This window comes from Homo sapiens, chromosome 1 (assembly GCF_000001405.40).
Source record: "Homo sapiens chromosome 1, GRCh38.p14 Primary Assembly".
Taxonomy (NCBI): Eukaryota; Metazoa; Chordata; class Mammalia; order Primates; family Hominidae; genus Homo; species Homo sapiens.
Genome location: NC_000001.11, coordinates 63,843,868 through 63,870,254, shown reverse-complemented (window position 1 = coordinate 63,870,254; position 26,387 = coordinate 63,843,868). Strand labels below are relative to the sequence as shown.

The following is a 26,387-nucleotide window of genomic DNA, read 5'->3' as shown; positions in this document are numbered from 1 at the left end:
GACATGATTAAACTTGAGAGCATACATGAATAATATTATGGTGTATGGGGAGAGGAGAATGGGGAGAACAGAACACCCAATGGTATCTTCAGTATGATTTCCACTGTGTGCAAAAGTTATGAATTCATGGATAAGGACTATGAGTGAACACACAAATATATTAAAAGTTTTACTCGTACAAATGGTGAGCCCACACACATTTTTCCTTGTGTTTTGAGTTCAGTTTCTGTTGTAATATTTGTGCAATAAATAATAATTTCAAAAGCATATTATGTACAGAGTGTATAATTATGTGGCACAACTATAAACAAATTAGCTTTATAACATGCCAGTCAAGCATTAACATTTGGAAAATAAGAGTTAGGATACTTATGTGAGGTTACTTACTTACCTCTGTCTCTGTCTAAAGAAACTATGTCCAGTTGCAAGATTCCTTTTGATCATTCTCTGTGCCATCAGGCACAAATCTGGTGGACAGCACTCTGCCTCTACCAGGAGCTCAACAAGTGCTCTAGAATAACTGAATGAGGACTTCCATGAGTGTTGTTTTGCAACTCAGACAAAGACCAGCAAGATTACAACTACAGTGGATACAAGTTGGGTTCCTTAATAACCCAGCACCACAAAGCTAAGTTCTGTACTGGGGAAAAAATGTGTATGGAGGAGAGGATGATTCTTCAGTGCAAAGTGCAAAGAGGAGAGAGTACTGTGAATCAGGTTTGTGGTGAGGGCTTCCTATTGGTCCTTGATCTGCAGGACACAAGCCCCCTTCTTAGCAGGCCTGACAAAAAATAGTAAGGTGCACAGCATCTCAAGGACTTGGCAGGTTGGCATAGAAGCCAGGCACAAAGGCCAAAGTTGGCCCAGTCACAATGAGCTGCAGGCCAGTGTGGAAGGACACTGGGCTGATACCAGTATATTCAGACTCCCTGAGGAGCAGCGTGTCTTTGACCAATTTAAATTCTGGATTATTAGAAGTTACAAATAATCAGTAATAGTAACAACTGCCATAATCATTGTCGAGGGCTTGCCATGCATATTAGGGACATCCTGCCATAACATCTCTAGGCTTTCATGGTTCCAAAAAACAACAGAGAACTTGGGAACCAGATACCTTCTCTAAAACACATTTGATCCTAACAAGGAATTGGAAGGGTGTCCCCACTAATGCAGAGATTCCAACACAACCAAGTCATGAGACTCTGCAATCACTTAATAGATGCTGTTCAGAGAAGGTTGTGGGGGACAACAAAAGAAAGCAGAAGAAAGAAATACACAACTGTTGGCACTGGGATTCATGCTAAGGCTTAAGTAATCTCACAATTTGATTGCATACTGCAAATAAAAATGATGCAAAATAAGTGCCTATTTGCTAAAAACAAAACAAAATGTGTAAAAACCTATGTCTTGAATAAAGTTTCTTCTCTATTCTCCTTCACGACGTTCCCAGATCCTACTCATTCTCCCAAGCTCAGTGCAGAGGCATGTGCCCCATGAAACTCCTGATCCCCTTGCTGATCCTCTCACTTCTGTCCACGGGGTGGAGACTGCCTCCCCTGAACTCACATGGTTATCAGCACCTCGCCAGAGATAATAAAATAATAAGAGCAGCCATTTGTCAAGTGCTAACTCTAGGCCAGGCCCTTTTCACAGCTTATTTCAAATCCTAAAACAACCCTTCCAGGACGCTGTGTATTATGCACAATCAAAGATTTAGAAACTGAAGTTCAAGATTAAGTAAATTGCCCAAAGCCAAATGTGCTCATAAGTGGTAGAGCCTGAATTTGATCCCAGGTCTATCAGACTCTGGAGCTCTTTGCTCTGCATCCTGCCATATCCTATGGCCCAGCCTCCCTCTGCCTCATATTTCTCTGTCTCTTACTAGGTGACAAGATCCTTGAGGACCCGACTCATTCCTGAGTCATCGCACACTCATTGATGCTTTAAGTAATCCCTGAACTATGGTCAACAGCACACAGGTAAGCAGCACACAGAAAGTAGAGATTTAATAAACACTTGTTTAATGAGTGATAAAATGACAGAAAACCCACGGGAACAGGTAGAAAGAGCAATTGTCATAGCGTTGGCAAAAACAAAAAAACAAAACAACAACAACAACAACAAAAACTGCGCTAGTATTTCTCTGAATCTTTAATTATAGAATGTCCTCCTTTTTGCTTGATTCGTCCTGACCTGCCATGGCTGCTTTTTCATTAGCAGCTTCACTCCAGCCACGCCTGGGATCTCTTCAGTGTGGTGCCAAGGCGTGTGGCCCTCCAGGCAGGGAGAGCAACAGCTTGTTTCCAAAGGGAACTAACGACATGGCCATGCTCGGCAGTAACCCTCATGCCACAAGCTTCAGCATCCCCCAGACAGCCGGAATCGGGAAAAGAGAAGCAGATCAAGGAAGGTGGGATATTTGGCCCCTGCCCATCATTTCCATGGTCCAACAGTAACCTATGGATCTTATCCTAGATTTATTTTTTCTTTTAAAGGATAAAGGACAAGTGGTCAGGGGCAGGCCCATAAATTTGCTCTGACTTTTATTAGATGGGGAATATTTTCGTCGGCGAGGTCAGCATAACTTGGAAGAAAAGACAGAAAACTCTCCACAAGTGAACCACCTCGTTACCCCTGACATAACACAGGCCTGCTGCCTACTGACAAGGGAGTCGCCTGCTATCATGCACAGTTAGAACTCCTTAAAAGTCATCAAAATAGGTTAATTTTTCCCATTCAACATTATCTTTTCATGGATTTCACATCTCATACACAGATTCTAGGGGGAAAGGAACATGACTGGGACTATTAAGTAATGGAGCTGAATCCTTTCAAGATGAAAGAAAACTGGGCTCGCCATCTCCACCATCTCGTAGACAGGAAACACAGCATAGACACAAGCTAAGGAAAAGGTCAAAGACATAGGAGGAAGGCCAATAAACCTCCGTGAGCGCTTTGTTTTGTGAAACCACCTGGTCTAACACTCAAGTTCTGTACAAATGTCTTATTCATTTGTTCATTTTTTAAAAGTATTAATTATGTGTCTATTATAGTGGAATGCACTAGGAATACTCTAATGAACAAGGCTTTGTCCCTGTTCTCCAGGAGTTTACAGTCCAGCAGGAGTGAGACTGTCTAAGAAAGAGGTCCCCATACAGTATAAGTACAGGAGCCAAACAGTGTAGCAGCTACTACATGGCAGCCTTCAGCTGCATAGCTGGCTGTACAAACACTGTAGCTAGATTAATTAAAATAATGGTTTTCACTATGCCTATCCAGTGATTTCATCTATGTTATCTGATTTCATCCTCAATTAATCTATCACAAGAACATATTCTTCTTAGGGAAAAAAAAAACCTGGACTATCAAATCTATTCCTTTCAAGTCTATGTAAAAGAACACCTGGAATTTCACAGAAAATAACTTTCTGTACAGAAAGGAAACAATCTATGACAAACTCAGATATTTCATGAGATAAACCAAAGCTTCTCTATAAAGCCTTCTTAATAAAATCGTTTCCAGCCACTGAGCAGGCCTAGTCTAAAACAATAGATCCATAACTATATCTAATGAAAGATACTTTTTTTTATTTCAGAAGGAAATATATAAGGAAAGGAGAATGAAACAAAATAAAACCAAAAAAAAAGGCTAGGTCCCTAGAACTTCAAGGGAAGGAGGAAAGCTTTCTTCTCCTAAATTTGACTGACAAGAGGAAATTCAGCCAATTCCCATCTATACTTGGTGTAGGAAAAGTAGAGCTCTTGTTTTCAAAAGAAACCACTTATTCAAGATGATCAAGTGGATGTAACATTCCAAGTCATTTGGGGAGATGTCGTAGACACCTTGGTGGGTTTTGCAATGAGCAGCCACATTTGCCTTGCCCATATTTCTTAATGTTTGATACTTGGATTACCCCAGCAGGAAACGAGCAGTCTTTGAATGGAGGGTTTTGTTCAGAATTCTAATAGCTTCCAGCATTTGCTCCAGACCACAAGAAGTACACCAAATTTACTTAGACATCCAGGCCAGACGTGAAGAATTTCTCTGTCAGATCTAGTAAGCTCCATCAATTTAACATTTTGGCTTCTCTGGGGCAAAGAGAAGACTGCCAAACAGCACTGGTGCTGGGGGGGCACCACTGGTGACATGTGGCAGTTCTTGAAAGAAAATTAATGAACATGACCAGTAACCTCTCTGCCCCTCTCTACTCCTTATTCAAGGAAGAGAAGGAAAATTTCAGCAATTGGGGTGACTAGGCAACTGCTACTCTTTAAAACAGCTTCAAGATTGTTGGGTTTTTTTCTCCACCAGACTTGCCACATTTCATCATTTGCATTCAAGACCACTTCACTATGAAATTCATTGACTTAAAGGTAGAGCCATCAGTTGTTCTGTTCAACAATTTCCTCCTTGTTAATCTACTGAGCAAAAAGCTACCCCTGGCAACCTCTGATTCAGTCACAAGCGCTATGTACAATCAAATCCAATAAAATATTTGTTTAGTGCCCGCTATGTGCCAAGCACTGTACCTAGCCTATTACACATATTAATGATGATGATGACAATCAATAACACGAGCATCATTTATCAAGTGCTTACTCTGCAAAACGCCAGAGTGAAACATATAAACATGCCTGACCTCACTCCTCATAACCCTTTGAGCAACATGTAATTATTGTTTTCCCCTTGTATGGGAAAAAAAAGGACTCCACAAAATTAAATAAACTTGCTCAAAGTCATATGGTTTGTAAGTAACAGAGCTGAGACTTGAACTTAAGCCTGTGTCGAGGGCAATGCCTGAACTGCAATTGAAATAATATCAGAAGTTTGTTGCAGTATATAAGGATGAGATAGATGGTAAAAGTTTTCCAGAGTACAGCAAAAATGACACTGGACATGCTAGTTGTATTACTCATTTAGACCAAAAGCATGACAAAACTACTTTGTAATAGAATTTTATCATCTCTCTAACACTGGGACCACTGTGATATGTGTGACCTATTTTCAGTCCTAAAAAGACCTACCTAGAGTAATCAACTATAAAGACTAGGACCAAACAGGTAATACAAATAACAAAACTACCAATAACATTTAAAAAAAAATTCCCTTGCAGATGCACTCAATTTCTATGAAGCTAAATTGCCTGGGGAAAAATGTATATGTATGTTTGTGTTTCCACTTGGATTTTCTAGTTTTAACACTTCGTTTTTATGTTTGTATATAGTGAAACATTCTTTACAGGGGTTTGAAAGGACTCATCTTAACAAAGAAAACATTCATAAAAGTTAAATGGGAAACTGAACTCACAGATTGGATGAGTAATAAAAAGCTTATTGATACCTGATTTCTGAACAAAGCCAGAAAGGAGAAGGTAAAACAAAAGGAAAAAAAATAAAAAAATTAAAAAAAAAAACCTTGAAATTTTGAGGTTCCAAAATTTGGAGGCAAAAAAAAAAAAGATTGAAAGATTTGGAAAGCTTCAAAGAGAGAAAAGGACATCGTACAACTGCTCCACAGCAGCAGAGTTCCAAGGGGTGGGAGGACATTTGGAAAGCCTGGTTCTTCCAAGATCCTATAGCCACTCACTTGTTCAATGGGGAGCTATATCCTAATTCCCAGCCCAGAATCTTGATTTAGATTTAGGCTGACAAACGCCTGCACAGCTAGGATCCTGCCAGTGACAGAGTAGAGGCTCTGCTGATACTGTGCAGAAAACCACCAAACCGCCTACCCCCCGTCATACCAACACAACACACATGGACTCATAAATGCATTTGGCACACAATTTCCAAGGGTTCATGAGTCACCTGAGACATGAATCCAGACTGAGAACACCTGTGCATAGTAAGAATCCTTAGACTTGAGGATCTGGCCAAGTTTAGAGCCACAAGTAAGCTGATACAACTGCTTTCTTAGCCTGTGGCCTCATAACAAGGCCAGTTTCTCCAGGTTCTCAATAGGCTGAGAGTGAGCAGCTTTCATTTAGGCAATGGTCCAGCCATGAAACATGAGGCTGCCTGAGGCTGACCGCCTGAGTTTGAATCCTGCCTCCATCTCTTAATAGCTGTGTAATCTTGAATAAGTTTTACTTAATTTCTTGTACCTCGGTTGTCTTATCTCTAAAATAGGGATGATAATAATGCCTACTTCAAAATGCTGCAAAGATTACATGAATTTTTATATGGGAAGCACTTAAAACAACACTTACCTATCACACAGGAAAACACCAAATAAATGCTAGCTGCTATTATGCTATGGTCCTTTTTAGGAAAAAAAGAAGGTGGTTTAATACAAAGGTTCCTATCAGAAAAACACTGCAGAAAGGCCGAGAATAGTAGTTAATGCTAGCATTGATTTTTGTGTCCTGTATTAAATCATCATGAGATGTCCACTTCTGCTATTTTTGCAAAGTTGACCATTTGGTTAACTGAACAAGTATCGCCATCTATGATACAATACAATACAATACAATACAATACAATACAATACAATACAATACAATACAATACAATACAATACAATACAATACAATACAATACAATACAATGGCAGTGTTGAATGCTGGAAAATGTAGTCTGTGAAACTTATCACAAATAAAGAAAAATACGCCATCAGATTAATAGCTTTCCTTCATTTCAGTTTGTGAAATGAATTAATCACTTTCCTTCATTTCAGTTTCAGCTGGCAAGCACACAGCTTTGCATTATCACAGACCCATAGATGGTGACAAATTAGAAGGAACCTCAGTGATCACGATCATTCTGTACATCTAGTCCAGGACCTCAATGTGCAGCTGGGAAACCTGAGCCCAAAGACAGGCATGACTTGCCCAGATAGACCCTGTGTGTAAGGGCCAGCACCAGAAACTCAGGCTCCGAAGTGTCTATCTGTTTACTCATTTACCTCCTTTCACTAGACTTGACAGCCCCTTAGAGGCCAGAATCTATCATACTTGTCACCTTCCTGCCAGCTCAGCACGCCTAGACACAGAAGGCAACAGCAAATGAAGGCTGAAAAGAACTAAAGTGATAGTGTTCTTTGCTTCTACTAAGGTATTATTTTAACTCAAGAAAGAAGAGATAGTTACCTCCTTCACTGAAAGATGACCCAAGTGGTAAAGCAAGGCAGAAATCACAACTAAGCATCCTGCTGGTGTGGGAGTCAGGAGATCAGGGCTTTTGCCCTACCTCTACCCTAACTTGCTTTGTGACATTGGACAAGCATCTAACTTTTCTAAAACAAAAAGTGATTAGGCAAGATGCTGTCCTTGATAGAGCTGAAAGGAATCAAATTTTATGAGGTCACAAAGTGAAATTCAATTTATTATTGATTATAATTCATTGTATGTCACTATGCTTATACTATACTCCAATATTAATTTTTAAAAGTCTTCTTTGTACATTATCACTTAATCCTCACGGTAACCTTAAGTAGGTCAGAAAATACCTTATAACCCCATTTTACAGACAATGACACTGAGGCGCAGTGTTCCCATGTTTATGTCAGAGTTAAATTAACAAATACCACCTATACTGAGAGGCAGAATTCACACCAAGAAAGAAAAAGATATGCTCAGCAGTAGATCAAGGGCCCAAGAAGAGGCAGTATGTGGCTTGAAGGTGAAATTAACAAGGAGCCATGGAACCTGGTCATCTCTCCCTAACTCTCGGGTTTCTTTACTCAAAATTCTGCTTTCAAAGATATACTTCTTTCACAGCTACATGAAGAACAGATGGGTTATGGGAAATACAAAGCCAAGATATTTGGCGGAGATCAGACAGAGAAGGTGAAGTAAGCCTCTTGAAATGTATCCTGCCTGCAATAAAACAAAATGTATTTCTTTTTTTTTTTTTTTTTTTTTTTGAGACAGTCTCACTCTGTCTCCCAGGGTGGAATACAGTGGTATGATCTTGGCTCACTGCAACCTCTGCCTCCTGGGTTCAAGCGATTCTCCTGTCTCAGCCTCCCAAGTTGCTGGGATTACAAGCATGTGCCACCATACCTGGCTAATTTTGTGTATTTTTAGTAGAGACAGGGTTTCACCATGTTGGCTAGGCTGGTCTCGAACTCCTGAGCTCAAGTGATCCACCTGCCTCGGTCTCCCAAAGTGCTGGGATTACAGGCATGAGCCACTGCACCTGGCCAGGAAAATGTAGTTCTAAGCATTTTATTGAAACTTCACAGTAAGACAGACCCTGAAATAAGGTAAAGAATAATAAATAAAAATTATGTGATAACCATTATTTATTGCTTAAGCTTAATTAAAATACCATTAATATTATTTTTCCTTATAGAATATGCCATTTTTTATTTTAATAAATCTTAGCAAATACATAAAATCAACCCTAGACTTGTCAGGAAAGGCGTCTCCACTCTAAAGTCCTATATTATCACAGAAACCCTAAGAAGACTGACCTACTGGCTCAATTGGAATGGGCATTTATCTTTCAAGACTTCCTAAAACCTTTTGAACCCTTTCTTAACATCCTGATATTGTAGTTTCCCACTGCATTGACGAGTACCATTATTTCAAAGTAGAATCCCCAAAAACCATATTTCCTATGTTTCCAACAGCAAGGCAATCATATGCCCCTCTGCAAATCACAGATGCAGAAAGACATACCTTCCAGTAAGCCTACTGGTGAAGTATTCCTGAGCACAGTCAGTTCAACGTGCTCGGCTGCAGTGGCAGTGGTATTTCCTACAGACCTGTCTTGTGGCAAAACCAGGCACTGCTACACAATGTTCTTGGCTATGTAACATCCAAACCTGGTGTTCTGGCCTTCCTAGAGACACAACACTCAAGCAGGCTATGACAGAGCAATGCCTAAAAGGAGAAAGAAATAAATAAAATCCAAGGGAAAACCAAAGGAATGACTATTGGCAAAATGGAAAATGTTACTGCCAATTTTTACATTTGCAACATTTAATTATTTCTCCCCAAACTCAAGAGAACCATAAAAATAAAAGTTCTGGCAGCCACGTCTCAGCGTGCAGCTTTGTTTCATCACAGACTTTAATAACATTCTTTTTCTGCTGGTGAAACACTGGGGAAAGGGTGGAGAAGGATCGAAGTTTCTGGACTCAACAGTCCCGGATTCCTCCTGGACAGCTGTGTTCTTCCCTGGAGTAAAGCCCCTTTCCAAAGAGAGAAAACCTTTTTATTTTCTGGCCCAGCTATTTTCAAGACAACCTAATTTAACTCACTCAAAACTCCATCAGGCAAAACAGAATCTTGGCCATTACCAACCGTGTGTCAAGAGAAGGGAAGGATGTCAGAAGGACAAATTTGTTTCTAAACTTTAAAGATTGCACACCCTCCTATCTGTTCATCATTGTTATAAGGGATGGCCACATAACTGATTTGTCATGTCTATTTCTTTTACTCAAAAACACTATTTGCTAGACAGAATATTTTCAAATGGTGTCTACCACCAGATTGTACCCTTCCATTCTTCTTCTTCTTTTTTTTTTTTTTTTTTCCCCGAGACAGACTCTTGCTCTGTTGCCCAGGCTGGAGTGCAGTGGTGCGATCTCTGCTCACTGCAACCTCCACCTCCCAGGTCCAAGCGATTCTCCTACCTCACCCTCTTGAGTAGCTGGGATTACAGGCTCGTGCCACCACACCTGGCTATTTTGTGTGTGTGTATGTGTGTGTGTGTGTGTGTGTGTGTGTGTGTGTGTGTGTGTGTATTTTTAGTAGAGATGGGGTTTTACCGTGTTGGCCAGGCTGGTCTCGAACTCTTGACCTCGTGATCTGCCCACCTCGGCCTCCCAAAGTGCTGGGATTACAGGTGTGAGCCACTGCGCCCAGCCTCCATTCTTCTTATTAAAAACTTCTTTCCAGCTTTCTAATACAGAATCTCATAAACTGGTTTGCCTCTCTGGTTGTTATTTTATATTTTCATAACTTCCCCCATTTTAAGATATTCTATTGAGCATTTCTCCTTACAGATAGGAAAGTTAACCACCTTCCCACACATAAAATTCATAACCAATTAAATCCAATAAAGTTTTATTGAACAGCTACAATATATATTACTCAGTGTCAGTGTGGTGAAGAAAGGCCTGAATTTTAGAACAATAATAGTAATAAGAATAATAGCTACTATTTGCTCTGATCCTGTGTGCCAGGAATCGTAACATGTCTGGACAGATAACATAGCATGACACTGCATAACAGTGAAGAATGTGGCCTCTGCTCTCTAATAGGCCTGGGTTCAGTGAAAAGCTCTACCACTTAGGCCAGTTTCTTCACCCTTCTGTGCCTCAGGCTCCTCATCTATAAAATACAGATATTAACAAGACACACCTCACAGGGCTGTTTGAGGATTTCATAAAATCACAGGAGTAAAGAACTTAGCCCAGGGCCTAATTAACAATGACACTTTGCAACTACCCTATTATTCCCATTTTAAGAGGAAGAGACTGAAGCTCAGAGCTAGTCCACAACACAGCTGGGATTCAAATCCACACTCATCCAACACTGAAGCCTTTGCACTTTCTAGTGCCATGCATTGACCAGCTGTACAGTGAGGGAGGGCACACTAGAAGCCTAGAGTCTGACAACTGGGAGGGCCTTACAGTCAGTCCACCCTCCAAGCATGGCATCTCTCCAGTGAACTGGCAGGCGACTGACCCCGCTACTTATACACAAGCTCCAAGCTTTACCCATGTCTGTATCCCAGATCTGGAGAACAGCCTACAGGGGGGACATTTGCTTATTGCATGAATGATTAAGGCAATTTAAATAAACTAATAATTATAGCTAAGTATTGAGCAGAAACTATGTGCTGGGCACTAGAATCAACATGTACTAACATATTTACTATTAAATTTTAAAAACTCAAGTAAGCTTTGCAGAATGTGGTGAGGGAGGTACATATTTTCATTAAATCAGACTCTGGAGAGACAGATAAAAGCATCACAAAAGTGTCCCCAAAATAGAAGAGGGGATCTTCATCTTCACAGGGCCTGCACTTCAAGAAAACATTGAGTAGGATAAGGTGACTGTCTTACTTAAAAGCGCTCAACACCAAAACCCCCAGCCAGCCAGAAAATGAAAGTCAGAGGGTCTTCATACAACTGTGTTGGTTGTACCCTGCAGAGGGGCGCCCAACCCAGGGAGCAAGTGAGGACAGAAACACACCAGGACTCCTCCAGTCATGCTGAGCATCATGACATGGGTCAGCACACACACAACAGAAGGGGCAGTTTGTACAAAGGTACCATAAAAACTTTGACTACCTTAACACACACAGGCTAATTTCTTATTCAATTATCCCATCTCACATCCCAAGACGGAACACATTTAAATCAGTAACTATATAAATATATTGATTTATTCACATTTATTCAAACATGTGAGTATACATTCACATACTCACACATTTCTTTATGTGCCGAGTAGTACACTTAGTATAGTGGGAGATAACAGAGATTACCATCTAATAGACATAATTACAAGTATCATAAACAATAGGGCCAAAGAGAATAAATATCTTAATTAGCATTCTGGACAGCATCAAAAAACTTGCTGCCTAGGTCACTGAGGCACTAGGGGTCAGGGAAGTGAAGAAAATACCCTCATCTAAACAAGACAAAAGGAAAAACAACACTATCATCAGATTTAAATACAAAGTACACTTGAAAGTTAAATTCAACTAGTAGTTTTAGAAGCAACACAGTTTACACTTTAAGCAAAAAGTCAGATTTTTTAAAGTGGTAGGGTCTAATCTTGGTTTAGCCACAGAATCACTGTGTCATTCTAGGAAAATATGCAAAATACACCCAGTCTTAATTTGTGCATCAGGGAAAGGTTTCATCAATAGCTGAGAGGTAGAATGAGAAATTCCACTCTACTTAACTAATGCAAAGTGCTGTTGTTAGTTAAAGCCACCCCCAGTCTGGGCCATAGATTTGAAAGGGAAAGGATAGGGAAGGATGGAGATGTCTTTAAACAACAGGATCACCAGGCAAGAGCAGTGAAAAAAGAATAAAAAAGCAAAGATTGTACTTTAAGTCAAGAAGACACCATTTCAGGAAAATAAACATGGGGCCTAAAAGCAAAGGAACACACATTAAACCTTCAAGGAAAAGCTGATAAGTGAAAGATACAGATACAATAACTCCATATGTCTTTAATGTTAGTAACCACTCAGCACAATTCAACTTCAGAGGCTGATGGCTATCTTTTCAATTAAGTTTGGGGGAATGGGGAGAGGGTTCCCATGTGCCTGAAACTGTGATAGGCAACTAACATTTATTACTTCATTTATTCCTCATAGCAACCTGACAAATTACATCTTATCCTACTTATATCCTACTGCACAGATGAAAACACTGAATCTGAAAGAACAAGAACCTCAAGCCATTTCCATCATGCCAACTGTGCAGGATGGGGACTTGGAGGTGGGGCTCCAGAGTCACCTTTGGTAACCAAGAGCTGCTGAGGAAATGGAGCAAGACAGTCTTCAGAGGCTTACCAAATATGGTTCATTCTACCGACTCTTAAAGATCCAAATATAGTATGAACTTGCACTTGACCATAACTCTAGTGGCACATATCCACTGTCAATTGTCTCCAGTTGATAAGAATGCAACGACTCACAGCTATTTATTCTCCATGACAGAGAAAACACTTTTATGTGCTCTCCCCATGCCTGGGGAACCATGAGGTTTTCCAATGCCAAATCCATAGAGCTATTTGCAGACCATCTGAGTCTACCTGGATAAAAGGCATCTAAGTACATCCAACATGGAAAAGGCACTTCAGATAAGAACAACCTCCTGGCAGACTTGGGATATACCACATCTGAGGGTCCATCATAAAACAGATACCTAAAAGTTAGTCTTCATTTTGTTTGTTTATAGAATATGGCTATTCTATTCTTGGTCCCTTTACCTCCACATGTTGTTTCAAGCATCAACTAGGTGGCTTTTATTAACACCTTCTAAGGAGAGGCTACAAAAAATAAATAGGTAAAAACCATGTCCAAGCCATCAACAACAACTGATTATCTAGAAATTTAAGAGAGATTTCAATTGCATATATGAAGATGCATATCTAATCTCATTTCTGTAAAAAAAAAAAAAAACTTCTGAAAGTTGTTCAACAACAGATACTTTGAAAATTGAATCCTATTTATTTATTAATTCATTCATTCAACAAGTACTTATTGAGCAACTGTTACACACCTGAGTCTATGTTAGGTGTTAGAAATCCCGAGATTAAAGACATTCCCTGTCCTCAAGGAAACAAAATCTAACGAGAAAAGAGAGGGTAAAAAAAAATGCAAGAACAACGCAGGGAGAGGAGTGCCGCACTAAATTACTGTAAGCACAGGTATGATGAGAGACCAGAGAAAGGGCTCCTAACACAGTCACATGGAGTCAAGGATGGCAGTTTTTAAACATTGGGGATGGAGGATTATTTCAGACAGAAAGAATAAAATGTATCACTTCCATTTCTGGCCAAGTTGGAGTAACAGGATAATTGTCAAGACTGGTATAACAGTCAGTAAAGGGCAGTGATCCCTGGAAGAAGGAAGGCAAATGAAACGAATCCTACGAGTCCTCCAGCTTACTGCCTGAGAGAATTTCCAGCTCAAGGTGTCTGGAGGAAAGGGAGAACTCAGGCAGAGCTCAGTGAACTGCCTGAGTTGAGTGAATTGAGCTAACAGTCCAGGGAGACCAAGGCAACTAGAGTTTGCAAGGCCAAGTATCAGAGAAAAGAGAGCTGCAGAAAGAGCCACAGAGAATCCCCCTCAAGTATTCAGCAGAGTGCTGATCAGTGCATACATGTGTGGCAACTACCCAGCACTGGGGAAAGAAATATCCAAAAAGATATTTCCAGATTGGAAAACCTCATGATTCCCCACGCCACGAGGAGAGCACATAGAAGAGTGTTTTCACTGTCATGGAGAATAATTAGTTATAGACTAAGTACAACTATTTCAGTCTTCCAAATCTTCAAAGCAAGACTTTCCAAAAGGATCAAACTGCTTCTAAACAACTTAAACACATTCCAGAACAAAGTTCAAAAATATTTGTAGGAATACAAAAATAGCCAGTACCCAACAAGGAAAATTCACAATGTCTGGCATCTAATCAAAAATTACCAGGCATTCATAAAGCAGGGAAATATAACCCCTGATGAGGAGGAAAAAAAAAAAAGTCAATCAAAACTGACACAGATGTTAGAATTAGCAGACAGAACATTAAAATGGTTATTATAACTATATTCCCTAAGTTCAAAAAGTAAGTGGAGACACTGAAGATATGAAAAAGAGCTACATCAGCAGGGCGTGGTAGCTCACACCTGTAATCCCAGCACTTTGGGAGGCCGAGGTGGGCGGGTCACGAGGTCAAGAGATCAAGACCATCCTGGCCGACATGGTGAAACGCCGTCTCTACTAAAAATACAGAAAAAAAAAAAAATTAGTGGGGCGTGGTGGCATGCGCCTATAGTCCCAGCTACTTGGGAGGCTGAGGCAGGAGAATCACTTGAACCAGGGAGGCGGAGGTTGCAGTGAGCCGAGATCATACCACTGCACTCCAGCCTGACAACAGAGCAAGACTACGTCTCAAAAAAAAAAAAAGAGCTACATCAAACTTCTAGAGGTGAAATCTACAATGTATGCGATGAAAAATACTCTGGATGGGATTAACATCAGATTAGACATTGCAGAGGATAAATATTAGTAAACTCAAAAACACAAAAATCAAAACTATCCAAAATAAGATACAGAGGGAAAAAGGGAATTAAAAAAGTAAACAGAATCAGTGAGTTGAGGAACAACTTCAACTGGCCTAATATACATGTAACTGGAGCCCCCAAAGGAGAGGAGCGAATTAAGTATCAAATATAGTATTTAATAATTGCCCTTGCCTCCAAGAATTTACAATCTTGATGGGAAAACAAATTGTAATAAAAAACAAAGTCATAAGGTATTTGAAAATCAAAAAGTATTATAAGAACAGAAACAAATGTCATGAGTCAGTACATAATTAATTACCAAACACATAGTACACATAACTGTTTAGAGGAGAGGAACAGATTACTTCAAGTTGGGAGGTCAGGTTAAGAACAGTCAAAGAGGAAACATTTGAACTGTCCATTTCATAAATGGGTATTTTCATATAATCCAAAGTAGTGTTCATTAGTATATATAGTCAGCCCTCCATATCCCCAGGTTCCACACCCATGGATTCAATCAACCACAGATCAAAAATATTTGGAAAAATAAGTAAATAAATAATAATAATAAATAATACAAATTTTAAAATACAGTGTAACAACTATTTACATAGCATTTATATTATATTAGGTATTATAAGTAACCTAGAGATAATTTAAAGTATACAGGAGAATGTATGTAGGTTAGATGCAAACACTATGCCATTTTATATCAGAGACTTGAGCATCCAAGGATTTTGGCATCCATCAGGGTCCTGGAACGAATGTGCCACAGATACCAAGAGACGACTGTAGTTTTTCTTCTTTCATCACTTTTTCTTCTTTATTCATTCATTCACCATTAAGTGAGCAATCTGTATGTGCCAGATACTATCTAAGCACAGACATGTTCTATCTCTACCTATGATGGGTTTAGAATCCAGAAGAGGTAAAAGAGAGAAATGGCTATTGCTCACACTGCTAGATACTCTGTGATGGAAGTACGTTCGGATTGTTGTAGGAAGGAGGCAGTTAACTCCACTAGGGAAAGGAAATAGAAGAAATTCATGAGACAAACAACTGTCACCTATTTGTAAAACCTCCATCCTGCCCTGTTTCCAGACTTGGCTGTCAAAAAGAACTGTTGGAAAATATGTAGAAAAGTCTACCTACCATGGAAGGAAGCAGAAAGCCAAGCAGTTTTTCCCTTGATTTCAATTCACTAATACACAGGAGGAAGAAAATGCAGGAACCTCCTCCTGCCAAGCAATCAGCCACACGTAAGTGGTGCTAAGATTTAGATAAGCCCTGACAAGTCTACTGAAGAATGCCTTAAATAGATGGGCAGCAGAGCAGTAATACGTCACATATTTTTATATGACATAAAGCCTCAGTGAATAAAAAAAAATTCATTGGAATCAGGTTGGTGATCTGATATTTCCATTGAAAACGTTTTATTTTTCCTGAAGCTAGCAGTCATGCACTATGCAATATACAAAGCTAGAAGGAACATTCATTATCACAGAGGCCAATGCTCACATTCTACAGATGGGCCCACTGAGATCCAGAAAGAGTAAGAGGCTAGGCCACAGTCACAGCAGCATTAGTTAAAATTCCCATCATCCTAGTTCTGGGAAGCTGGTGATCTTTACATGAAACCGTATGGTTTTTATCCATCTCTTAGAGTGAATGAATTTCAGCTGTGATTTTAGTAGAGAATTATGCTAATACAGGAGAGGTATATTTGGATGTGGAATGATCCTTTATCATAAGCCTTGGTTTAATAGTTTTTCCTAAAAATAGTGTTTCACTAAGGAAACCTCATATTTGGAAACTTTCATTCATGCTCCATTGGTAATGAAAGATTCCTTACTGTGTCCCCAGTGCACTGTTTAATGTTCAATTTACAGACTATTTTGCTGAAGAAAGAAACAAGATATAAGAGCAAAGCATAAGCTAGACTCTCACTCTACTATATACAAGATACAGGTTGAGTATCCCTTACCCAAAATGCTTGAGATCAGACATGTTTCAGATGTCTTCAAGATTCTGGAATATATGCGTTTATACCAGCTGAGCATTCCTAATCCAAAAATCCAAAATCTGAATGCTCCAAGGAGCACCTTTGAGCATCATGTTGGCATGCAAAACGTTTCAGATTTTGGTGCATTTTGGGTTTTGGATTCTCAGATTAGGGATACCCAACCTATATATGATCTTGGGCAGAATACTTAACCTCTCAGTTTTTTCATCTATAAAACGAGGCTAACAATAGTACTTACTAGGGTATATGTAGTGTGTTCTCAAGTTTTGAGAATGAACTAGCTGATATAAAGTACATCACCAGGCATACCACAGGAGTTCAAAAAACATTAGCAGCAGCTGTTGCCACAGTTGGTGACTATGATGCTGGGAGCAGGGGATAGGTGTAATCATTGTTAGTGTCTTGAGGTTAAATCATATTAGACATCTTTTCCCTTATGATTCTCAAAGAGAACTCAGATACATATATTTATGCCAGGTACTGATAATGATACAACATCTCAGTCTTAGAACTCTCCTTAAAGAGTGTGTACCTGTCCCTAAGTTTAAATCTTACTTATAATAATAATAGTTACTCTTCCAAATCTGAGTGGAGCTAAATTATTTGCCACCTTATGCTGTAAACCCTGGGCCACAGAACTTGGTAATAAAATGTAAGAGTATCATACTTTCTCCATCTGTATAAAGTCCTTACAGAAAAGCAGGAGTCTATTGCAAATGTCACCCTAGGTTTCCCATGGTTAATACATGTGGTAAGACTGAACTGTCATGCTACAGATTTGTCCTAAAAGTAGAATGTGAATTCAACAACTACACTCTCCCAGTGAAAATGATCTGTTTCATTTTTTAGTGTTTTTCCTTCCATCAATACTCAAAGGAACTGGTTTGCATTAGTGAGTGTCTACAAAGGTTTCTTCCTCTTCTGGACAATTAATTTGTATCATATAAGACAAATATTGGCACATCTGGACAAACTCAGCATGAGTCTAAAAACCATGAAATTTCTCAAGGCATCTGTGAATAAAAACACCTCTCTGAGCTTTTCCAAGATGACAGACCGAAGAGGGGAGAAGTGGAGAAATGGACACAATAGCCCTCTTTGAAGATCAGAAAGGCTGTTGTGCGAAAGAGGGAGCAGACTTCTAAGGCTGGGTGCTCAGGAGGGCAGGATGAGAATAAATACATAGGAAAGTTGCAGGGGGCTGCTTTCAGCTCTACAAAAGGAAGAGTTTGCCAGGGCAAGGGTACACATACATGTATGCCCCGGCAGAGTGAAACAGATGGTGGCTGAGTCCAGGCAGCACCACTGATGAGCTGTGCATATGGGGCAAGTTTCTTAAACTATCTGATCTCTCCCCTGTCAGTCAGTACAGTTATTCCCACATTCACAGCTATTCCAGAATTGAAAAATATATGTATATTTAATGCTTAATATATTGTAGGCATTATGATTACTTCAACTCTGAAGGATTTGTCATATGCCTTTGGAATAGGAATATCTACGTGACCTAATGAATAAAATCTCTTTAGTTCTGCCTTTTCTTTTGGTCTTAAAATCCAATGAGCGAAGCTCAAATTATTCTACCACCTGCTGTGCCACTGCTTTTAGGTAAGATGCCAGTCTACTTGTCTTCCATCTTCCCTGGATCTTTCCAGCAGCAAAACCTAAAGAAAAACACTTATCATCCACCAACCCTTAACCCAAGGAAGGATTATAGGATTATTTACAAAATCATTACAAATCATTTTTCATATACAGGTGTTCTCCCCTTTGCCCAGCACATGTTTTGTATAAATCACATTCTTATTTTCCTACCAAATGAGCTTATAATTGTTTGCATATGCTTATTATTTTATTCCAAGAATATTACTCCATGACCATTAAAAAAGATTTGGAAAACAGAAAAATAGGGCAATGAGGGGAATAATCACCCACAGTCTATTCATTGTAATTTTTCCCTGTCATCTTTATACATGAGTGATGGTGGTCTTTTTTTACATAATTTTAATTAGATTAGAATTTTGCAGGTGACTTCTTAGCATTTTTTAACTGCTCTTCACTTAGTGGTGGCTCCTGCATTAAGTTCCTCTGTTCTCAATACCAATTAAGTATCAGTGATTTTTAAGACGTTTTAAAGCACCAAGGGTCAACGCCACTTAGAAGCATGGAATTTTGAAAGCAGAAAAGAAAATCTGCTCTTGAAGAAGGAATGACTAATGCAATCTCTCATTTTATGGACATTAAAACCCAAAAAGCGGCCGGGCGCAGTGGCTCACGCCTGTAATCCCAGTACTTTAGGAGGCCGAGGCTAGCGGATCACCAGGTCAAGAAATTGAGACCATCCTGGCCAACATGGTGAAACCCCGTCTCTACTAAAAATACAAAAAATAGCTGGGCGTGGTGGCACACGCCTATAGTCCCAGCTACTCAGGAGGCTGAGGCAGGACAATTGATTGAACTCGGGAGACGGAGGTTGCAGTGAGCCTAGATCGTGCCACTGCACTCCAGCTTGGAGACAGAGCAAGATTCTGTCTCAAACAAACAAACAAACAAAAAGCAAACAAAACAAAAAACCAAAAAACCACACAGGCAGCAATCTCTGCTGATATAGAGAGCAAGGTCCCTGAATTCACTGGCCAGTGCAATGAACCTACTGTAAATTGGGCCCCAGTATCTCCTGCTATGCACCCCCAACATAGGTTCTATAAGTTTGGACTTTGTCTCTTCAATTCCTTAGAAATGTACATAATGTGTTCTGTGTACAATGGATGTATAGCAAACTAATTAGGGCCAAAGTAGGCTTTGATGAGGATAATTCTACCCAAGCAGAAACTCAAATCTGCCCTATAATATAGCTAGAACAATACAGCTAGAACAGGAGGAAAAGGAAAAAAAAATCTCCAGTCTTTGCTCTAACATCTTTACTCAACTTGACATATCTTTATACATCCAAACTGTGATAGTTTCTCATACCTGTTGAATAAGCAAAATCTAAAAATACTTCCAATATCAAGAGTTAGAAAGGGTAAAGAGCAACGGGAACTTATATCCTGTAGGAAGGAGCTCGCACTGGCATAAGGCCGTTGGAGAGCAATTCCACAGCACCTAGGGAAGCCGAAGACATGCATACTCTATTCTATTCCTAGGTATTTGGCCTAGAAAAACTTCACACATTTTTACAGAAAGATAAGTCAAAGTTTTCATGGCAAAATTGTTTATAATACACAAAAAAATGAAGGCAGGAGAATGGGTACATTAATTGTGAAATGGTCATACAATAGCATACTTACTGCACAGCAACTAAAATAACTTCTTAGATCAACATGCAATTCCTAAATTAACAAGGTTAATACCAAAAACACAACATTGAGCAAAAATAGCAAGATGTATGACAGGTACAGTAAGTTCCCATTTATACACAATTTTAAAATAGGCAAAGCACTATTTTTAGTAGCACTCAGTGCATTTATGCACAGAGAGCAAAAATATAAAAACATGCATGGGAATGAAAAGACATCACATTTAAAGGACAGATTATCTCTGGAGAAGAAAAGAGACAGGATTTAGGAGGGGTACACTGGGAGCTTTTGTTGTATCTATAATGTTTTATTTCTTTTAAAAATCTGAAACAAATAAAAAATATTTGTATCTGAAATGGGTTTTGTCACTTTTGTCTGCTTTTCTGTACACTTAAAACATTTCAAAGTTTAAAAAAGAAAACAAAGCACGATGGCTTAGCAATGGATTGGTCTAGATATCCAGGAATCTGAGATGGTAGGAAAAACAAAAATCCATCCACTGTTGTGGAGCACTTTAGTTATTTTTATTTATTTTTTTGAGACAGGGTCTCATTCTGTCCCTCAGGCTGTAGTGTGGGGTACCATCACTGCTCACTGCAGCCTTGACGTCCTGGGCTCAAGTGACCTTCCCAACTCAGTCTCTGGAGTAGCTGGGACCACAGGCGCCCACCCCACACCCCGCCAACTTTTTTTATTTTTTGTAGAGATGAGGTGTCACTATGTTGCCAAGGCTGGTCTCAAACTCCTGAGCTCAAGTGATCCTTCAGCCTCAGCCTCCAAAAATGCTGGGATTACAGGTGTTAGCCACTGCTCCTGACCCTATTTTAGGCATTTTAAATAAGACTGGTGGCCATCACAAACTCCTCTGCATCCCTGTGCTTGGCATGGTGCCAAGCCAAAAGTAAATACAAGCTAAATACTGAAGAATTAATGAACAAATCAATAAACAAATGAACTGAATGGGTTGTTATACATGCCTTTGGTTAATGAAAACAGAAAACAACAATTACCATTAATAATTTGAAATTCAAAACACTTCTAAACGTGGGCCCATGGACAGCCTGAAAGGCATCATTAATTAAAAAACATTGAAAACTAGTGGGCAAAGAAACCCGTAAAGACTTTAAGATCCTTAACATTCCATGTTTTTTCTTTATCTCAGAGCCAGGCATAGCACACTCATCCCATTCTTGTCACCTAAGGACCAGGAATTCATTGCCATAACAGACCCCAGGATGCCGCCCACAGCCTGACATATCAATAAGTCTTTGGTATCTAAGTGAATTAAAGAGCTCTTCTGAGCCTATGTGAAGAATTCCCAGCATTTTTCTGCTCTGTTCACTCGGTTTACTGAGTACATTAAGATTCTAAATCATTCTGTCTTCACAAATGTAGGTTTGTCCCTTTGGGGACAAAAAATTTCCAGGATGATAACCACGATTTCAAACTCCTTACCATTATAGGGGAATATACAGGCTTGATGAAATCAAGCAGAAATCCACTACCAGACGTTTTTGCCATTATTGATTTTTTTTAATTCCAAGTGAATTTAAAAAGAACCAAAATAAGATGCATGGCACATTCATCTAAGCCTAGTAATTAAATCCAAAAAAGCAGTTTATAGTAGTTTAAGCAAAAAGAATAATTTTAGAAAGTACCACAGGCCTCCACTATCTGAAATAAATTAGGTGTTTTTTAGTTTCCTTATGTTATTAAAATATTAATTTACTTTAAAATATAATCCTGAAGCTTCCTTCGAAATACCTTCTTCAAGGAAAGGGGCATATATTTATAGTGTTCTTTTAAAGTTTAACAAAAGAAGGATTCAAACTGAGTTACCTCCACTCTGCAAAAGTCTTTTTTTCAAATGTGTAACAGGATCTTATTGCAGTCACTTGGTCTGCTCTCCACACAAAGAAAGACTGGAAAGCATTTGTGTTATGCTTCTGGAGTTAAAAATGAAGACGCCTTTTTGCTTCCATCAGTTCTTTTTTATTAATAAGGTGGCCACACCAAGTCAGAAATTATAACCATCTGCTTTAGCCATTAAATACAGATTCAAAGGCCTAATGATAAAGTGACCTCTTTATTAATAACAGAGAGCGACAAGTGGCCATTTTCCCAGAGTGTTCACAGAAATAAATCAATCCGTAAGTCCAGGTATCAGCTATATCGGTTCTTAAGTTTTCTCTTCGATTTGGCCTTTATTGTTTTAAATCACTTAGGAAACAAAAAGGGAGCTCAGGAAGTACCTTTTCCATGAGTTTTGTTTTTATCTCTGCTCTTGATGAGATGTCACTTAGCCACCTCACATAACTTGAAGACACGATCTTTCATTCTCCACATCACAGAAGAATCATCCCCATGCACCATCTAACCGATGAGTAGACACATGGGACTTATCAGCAGCAGGGAGTATATCTGAATCAAAGCCTCAAACAAAGGTGTGTAGGAAAACCACAGCTCTGTCAAAGGAAACAATAGTGGAATCACTGCAGCTGTATTTTAATATGGCAGGAACACAGCCCCTTGTTTTCTTTAATTCACATATTAGAATTTTAATTATCAAGTTGCTAAAGTGTGGTGGCTTTCAATTGAAGTGGGTTTTACCGACCCAGCCTCGCAGGGCAGACAGAAGTCCTTTGTTGCGCTGCCAGATGCACAGAGACGCCAGCATGGCACCATCCACGTCCTCTGCCTCAGATCCTTCTGGCAGGAAGCCTCTACCACCACCTAGAGCACAGGAGTCTCTGGGAGATGAATCTCCCTGGCCCTTGTCCAAGGGGCTTTATTACTGGAAGGACCAGAAAGATCTCTTTACAAACCTGATCTTTCTCCTTACCCAATCCATAGGCTGGTACCAGAAGAAACAGCAGAAGACTGAACTGCTACGATAGAAGTAGACCGTGAAGGATGAGTAGTTCTTGCGGGGAATACTTTGTGAAGGCTGTGGAGAAAACTCCTGTCCCACCACAGGGAGAATTCCTCCAAGTCCCGTCTTTACTACAAAGTTAAAACCCTCTAGAAACCCACAACACCAAGGCACGGAGCCAGCACATACAGCCCCAACACCTCTTGCTCCTCTCCCTGGCTTCCTGTTTCCTGATTTCCCCTCACTGTTTCCCTCACTCCTACCACTGTGGAGAAGGCAGTCACCATCTGTCAGGTGGAAGAAGACCTCTGCAGGGCTGTGGGGACAGAGGCAAGAACACTGGACTGATAGTTCAACAGAGGCCCACGGAAGCCAGCCTGGAGGAGATAGCGGGTGAGCTCTTGTAACCAGCCAAATCCTACAGATCCCCCTTAGTGACTTCACCTCCAAGGCCGCTGTCCTGGGCCTGTGGTCAGTAGAGTCCTTGCTCTGCAGTAACGCGCTGTGCCGCATTAGGAGTGTTAGTGAGCTTCTAGAGGCCTTACTATTCTTCCCCCAAAACATAAGAGCGCAGAGTTACGTCATGTCAAAAGTCCCTTGAAGGTTTGGCATTTATAACTTTACATCACTTCCTGTATCTATTGCCTCAGTTCCCTCAAGTATCAAGCCGCGCAGTTGCAGATGATTTCAAGGCCCTTTCCAACACAGAGGCTCTGTGATTCCGTTGATGAAGCCAGATCACAAGCAAGGATCATGCTTTTAATCTCAGTGGCTCTTTCTTTGCCAAATAATGATAGGAATGTACTTCAGCTGAATGCCCCCATCTCAGCTACCAGTACATCTGGTTGGGAAACCTACATCTATCTGCCCACTTGCCAACACGGAAATCTTCAAACAAAGACAAGATGATTCATGGCATCTTTAATAGGGCCCCCACCTTGACATTAAGTCTTGGGCTGAGGTTATCGAAAACAGCAAGTATACAAAGAATTTACTCACAGCCTGAGAGCAAGCCAGAGACCGCGCAGGTGGCTGGAGGGAAAATTGACAAGAATTACAAAGAAAAGGTGCATTGAGTTAATAGAAAATAACTCTGGTATTGAGGAACAGGGGCTGAAAACAGATGTGAGGGGTAGGCCACCTCCTCACCATGAGGAGTGAAAGCAAGAACCACAGCTGCTGATTTCTCAAACACACACACACACACACACACACACACACACACACACACACACACACACACATTCTCTCTCTCTCTGTCAAATAAAAAATATAAAATTCACTATGCTGGCCCAAGGTTGTGGGTTGCGGTGCCCTTCAAGGAATATTGTAGAGCTGAAAGCTGATTAGACACAGCACCCAAAAATCAGTATTCCAGAAGGAGTCAGAAGCTAAAGATGACAGTTTCACATACTAGAGGGGGTGCTGAGTATAAAAACATAAGTTCAGGCTCCATCTAAGCTTCATGATCTTTTATAAATTACTAAATCTCTACACCAAATAAATTCCTCATCTGTGACATGGAGACTACAAATATCCAGTCTATCCGAAAAGAGATTTTTAAAGCAGGTAAAACACATACAACTATCTGGGGCACAGCAGACACTCCCAAAAGTTGGAAGTTACTATGAAGATGCATGCAGGTATCAGAGATCAGAACACAATAATGGGTCAATCCAGAGAGACAAACAGAAATCAAGAAAAGGCAGGCAGTGGCAAACAAGGCAAAACAGTGGGTCAAGGATTGAAACAGGAACCTAAAAGAAATACTCCAGCATCATCACTTTTAATAAATATCTATTGATGTTAAGGAGAAGAAAGCAGATTGCCAGATGAGTGATAAAAGATGACCTCATTCATTGAAAGAGAAAGAGAAGCAAAGACACAAAGCCAAGGAAGACAGACTACAGAGATATACTCCAAATACTATTGTATAGTAGTTACCACTACTACTAGTAGGGTTAGTTCAGGTTTTTTTGTTTGTTCGTTTATCAGTATTTTCCAAATATTTCAGTTTTTATTTCAAAGTTAAAAAATGATACCTTAAACATTTAATAATAGGCCCTGAGTAGCTGTTCTTTCAGGGAAGCTGAAGCCCTGGAGAAGATCACTGGCATTCTGAAATTCAGGCTGTGCTCTAATTATTTGAAAGTTCTTAACACATATATGGAGAAACTCAGCCAGTCTATAAATATATGTAGAAGCCCTTCTTAATTCAAAAGCATGACATTAAACATTTCAGGGAAAAAAACATAAACTCCCAAAGAGTCTCCATCTCATTAGAGAATTAGATACGCTCACGTTAAATTATAACTCACAAAGCAGGGTGCACTAGTGTAACAATGAATTCAAGGAGAGTGATTTGAGCCAGGCTGAGGACAACTGGAAGACTTCAAAAGGCAGGATAAAGTCACTTTCTGCTGCAGAGACAATTTAATTAAAAAGAAGCTCCTTTCTACCCCTCCTCCAGGTAATAGAGAATTCATTGTATTCTGAGAAATTGAAGATCTTACAAGAAGGCAGATTGCATGACCTTCCATTTGCAATATATTCTTTCAGGAAAGGGAGTAATTAGGATTGCCTAGAAGGGGCTGCTTTATTTCATTGAGGAGATAACTTTAAACAGGCTTCCTCACTACATGCACCACACTCAACAAGCAAACTCCCTACACTGGACTCCTATAGGGCCTAATTCTCACCTCAGCCCCAGCTTTACCCAGATTCTCTAACCTGTTATTATTAAGCTACTTAGCTGCCTTCCACCCTTCATCCCTAGACCCCAAACACCCTAGTAGACTGTGAATTCCTTTTATTCTTTCATGTATTCATTCACCATTTTTTTCAACACATGCTATGTGCTAGCAACACAAAGATAAATAAAACACCCCCCATCCCCATAAAGTTGATAGTCTAGCAGCAGTAACTGACTTATTAGTAGATATTTACAGCTCAATGGCCGACACATGCATGGAGCATCCAAGAGAAGGAAGAGGATGTGCCTAACCAGCGTGAAGCCAGGCAACAGGGTTTGGAGGACATTGCAAGAAGAGTGGGTGGCAGGAATAAAGGCACTAACCATGGTGAAAAGGGACACAGAGTCAGCAGAAAACCATGTAGCCAGATCTTAAAGTGCGAGGCAGAGAGTGGAAAGACACAACCATAACAGCCAACGTTTACTGAGGGCTAACCATGTGTGAGCTGATTAATTCCTCACCAACCCATGAGGTAGGTTTTATCATCCTAATGTTAGCAATGAGGAAACAGGCTACAAAGGTTAAGTCACTGGGAGAGTAAGGGAGATAATCACTCTGATATGCTGCCCCCCTAAGGCTAGAGGGATTAGCAAGGGCTGGTCTGAAAATCCCTTTGGTGTCATGCTAAGGAGCTTGGGCCTTTCCTATAGATAATAGGCAGGCAGTAAATGGCTTTAAGCAGGGAAGAGTCAGATTTATGTCTCAGGAGGCTACTTCAGCAAGGTGTGGAGGACTAATATGA

The 26,387-nt window shown here is 39.9% G+C and overlaps 1 protein-coding gene across 3 annotated transcripts in view; it reads right to left on the bottom strand.

The window, feature by feature from the left end:
- The window catches only part of ROR1 (receptor tyrosine kinase like orphan receptor 1), a 407,482-nt gene that overhangs the window by 311,244 nt on the left and 69,851 nt on the right, over positions 1-26,387 (bottom strand). Inside the window, exon 1 of one of the 3 annotated variants that reach the window (XM_011541526.2) lies at positions 1-26,387. This exon is cut by the window's left edge and continues 21,238 nt beyond it. The exons of the other annotated variants lie outside the window; for them this stretch is intronic. The gene's annotated coding sequence lies outside the window, so the exon portion shown is untranslated. 3 annotated transcript variants of the gene reach the window in all.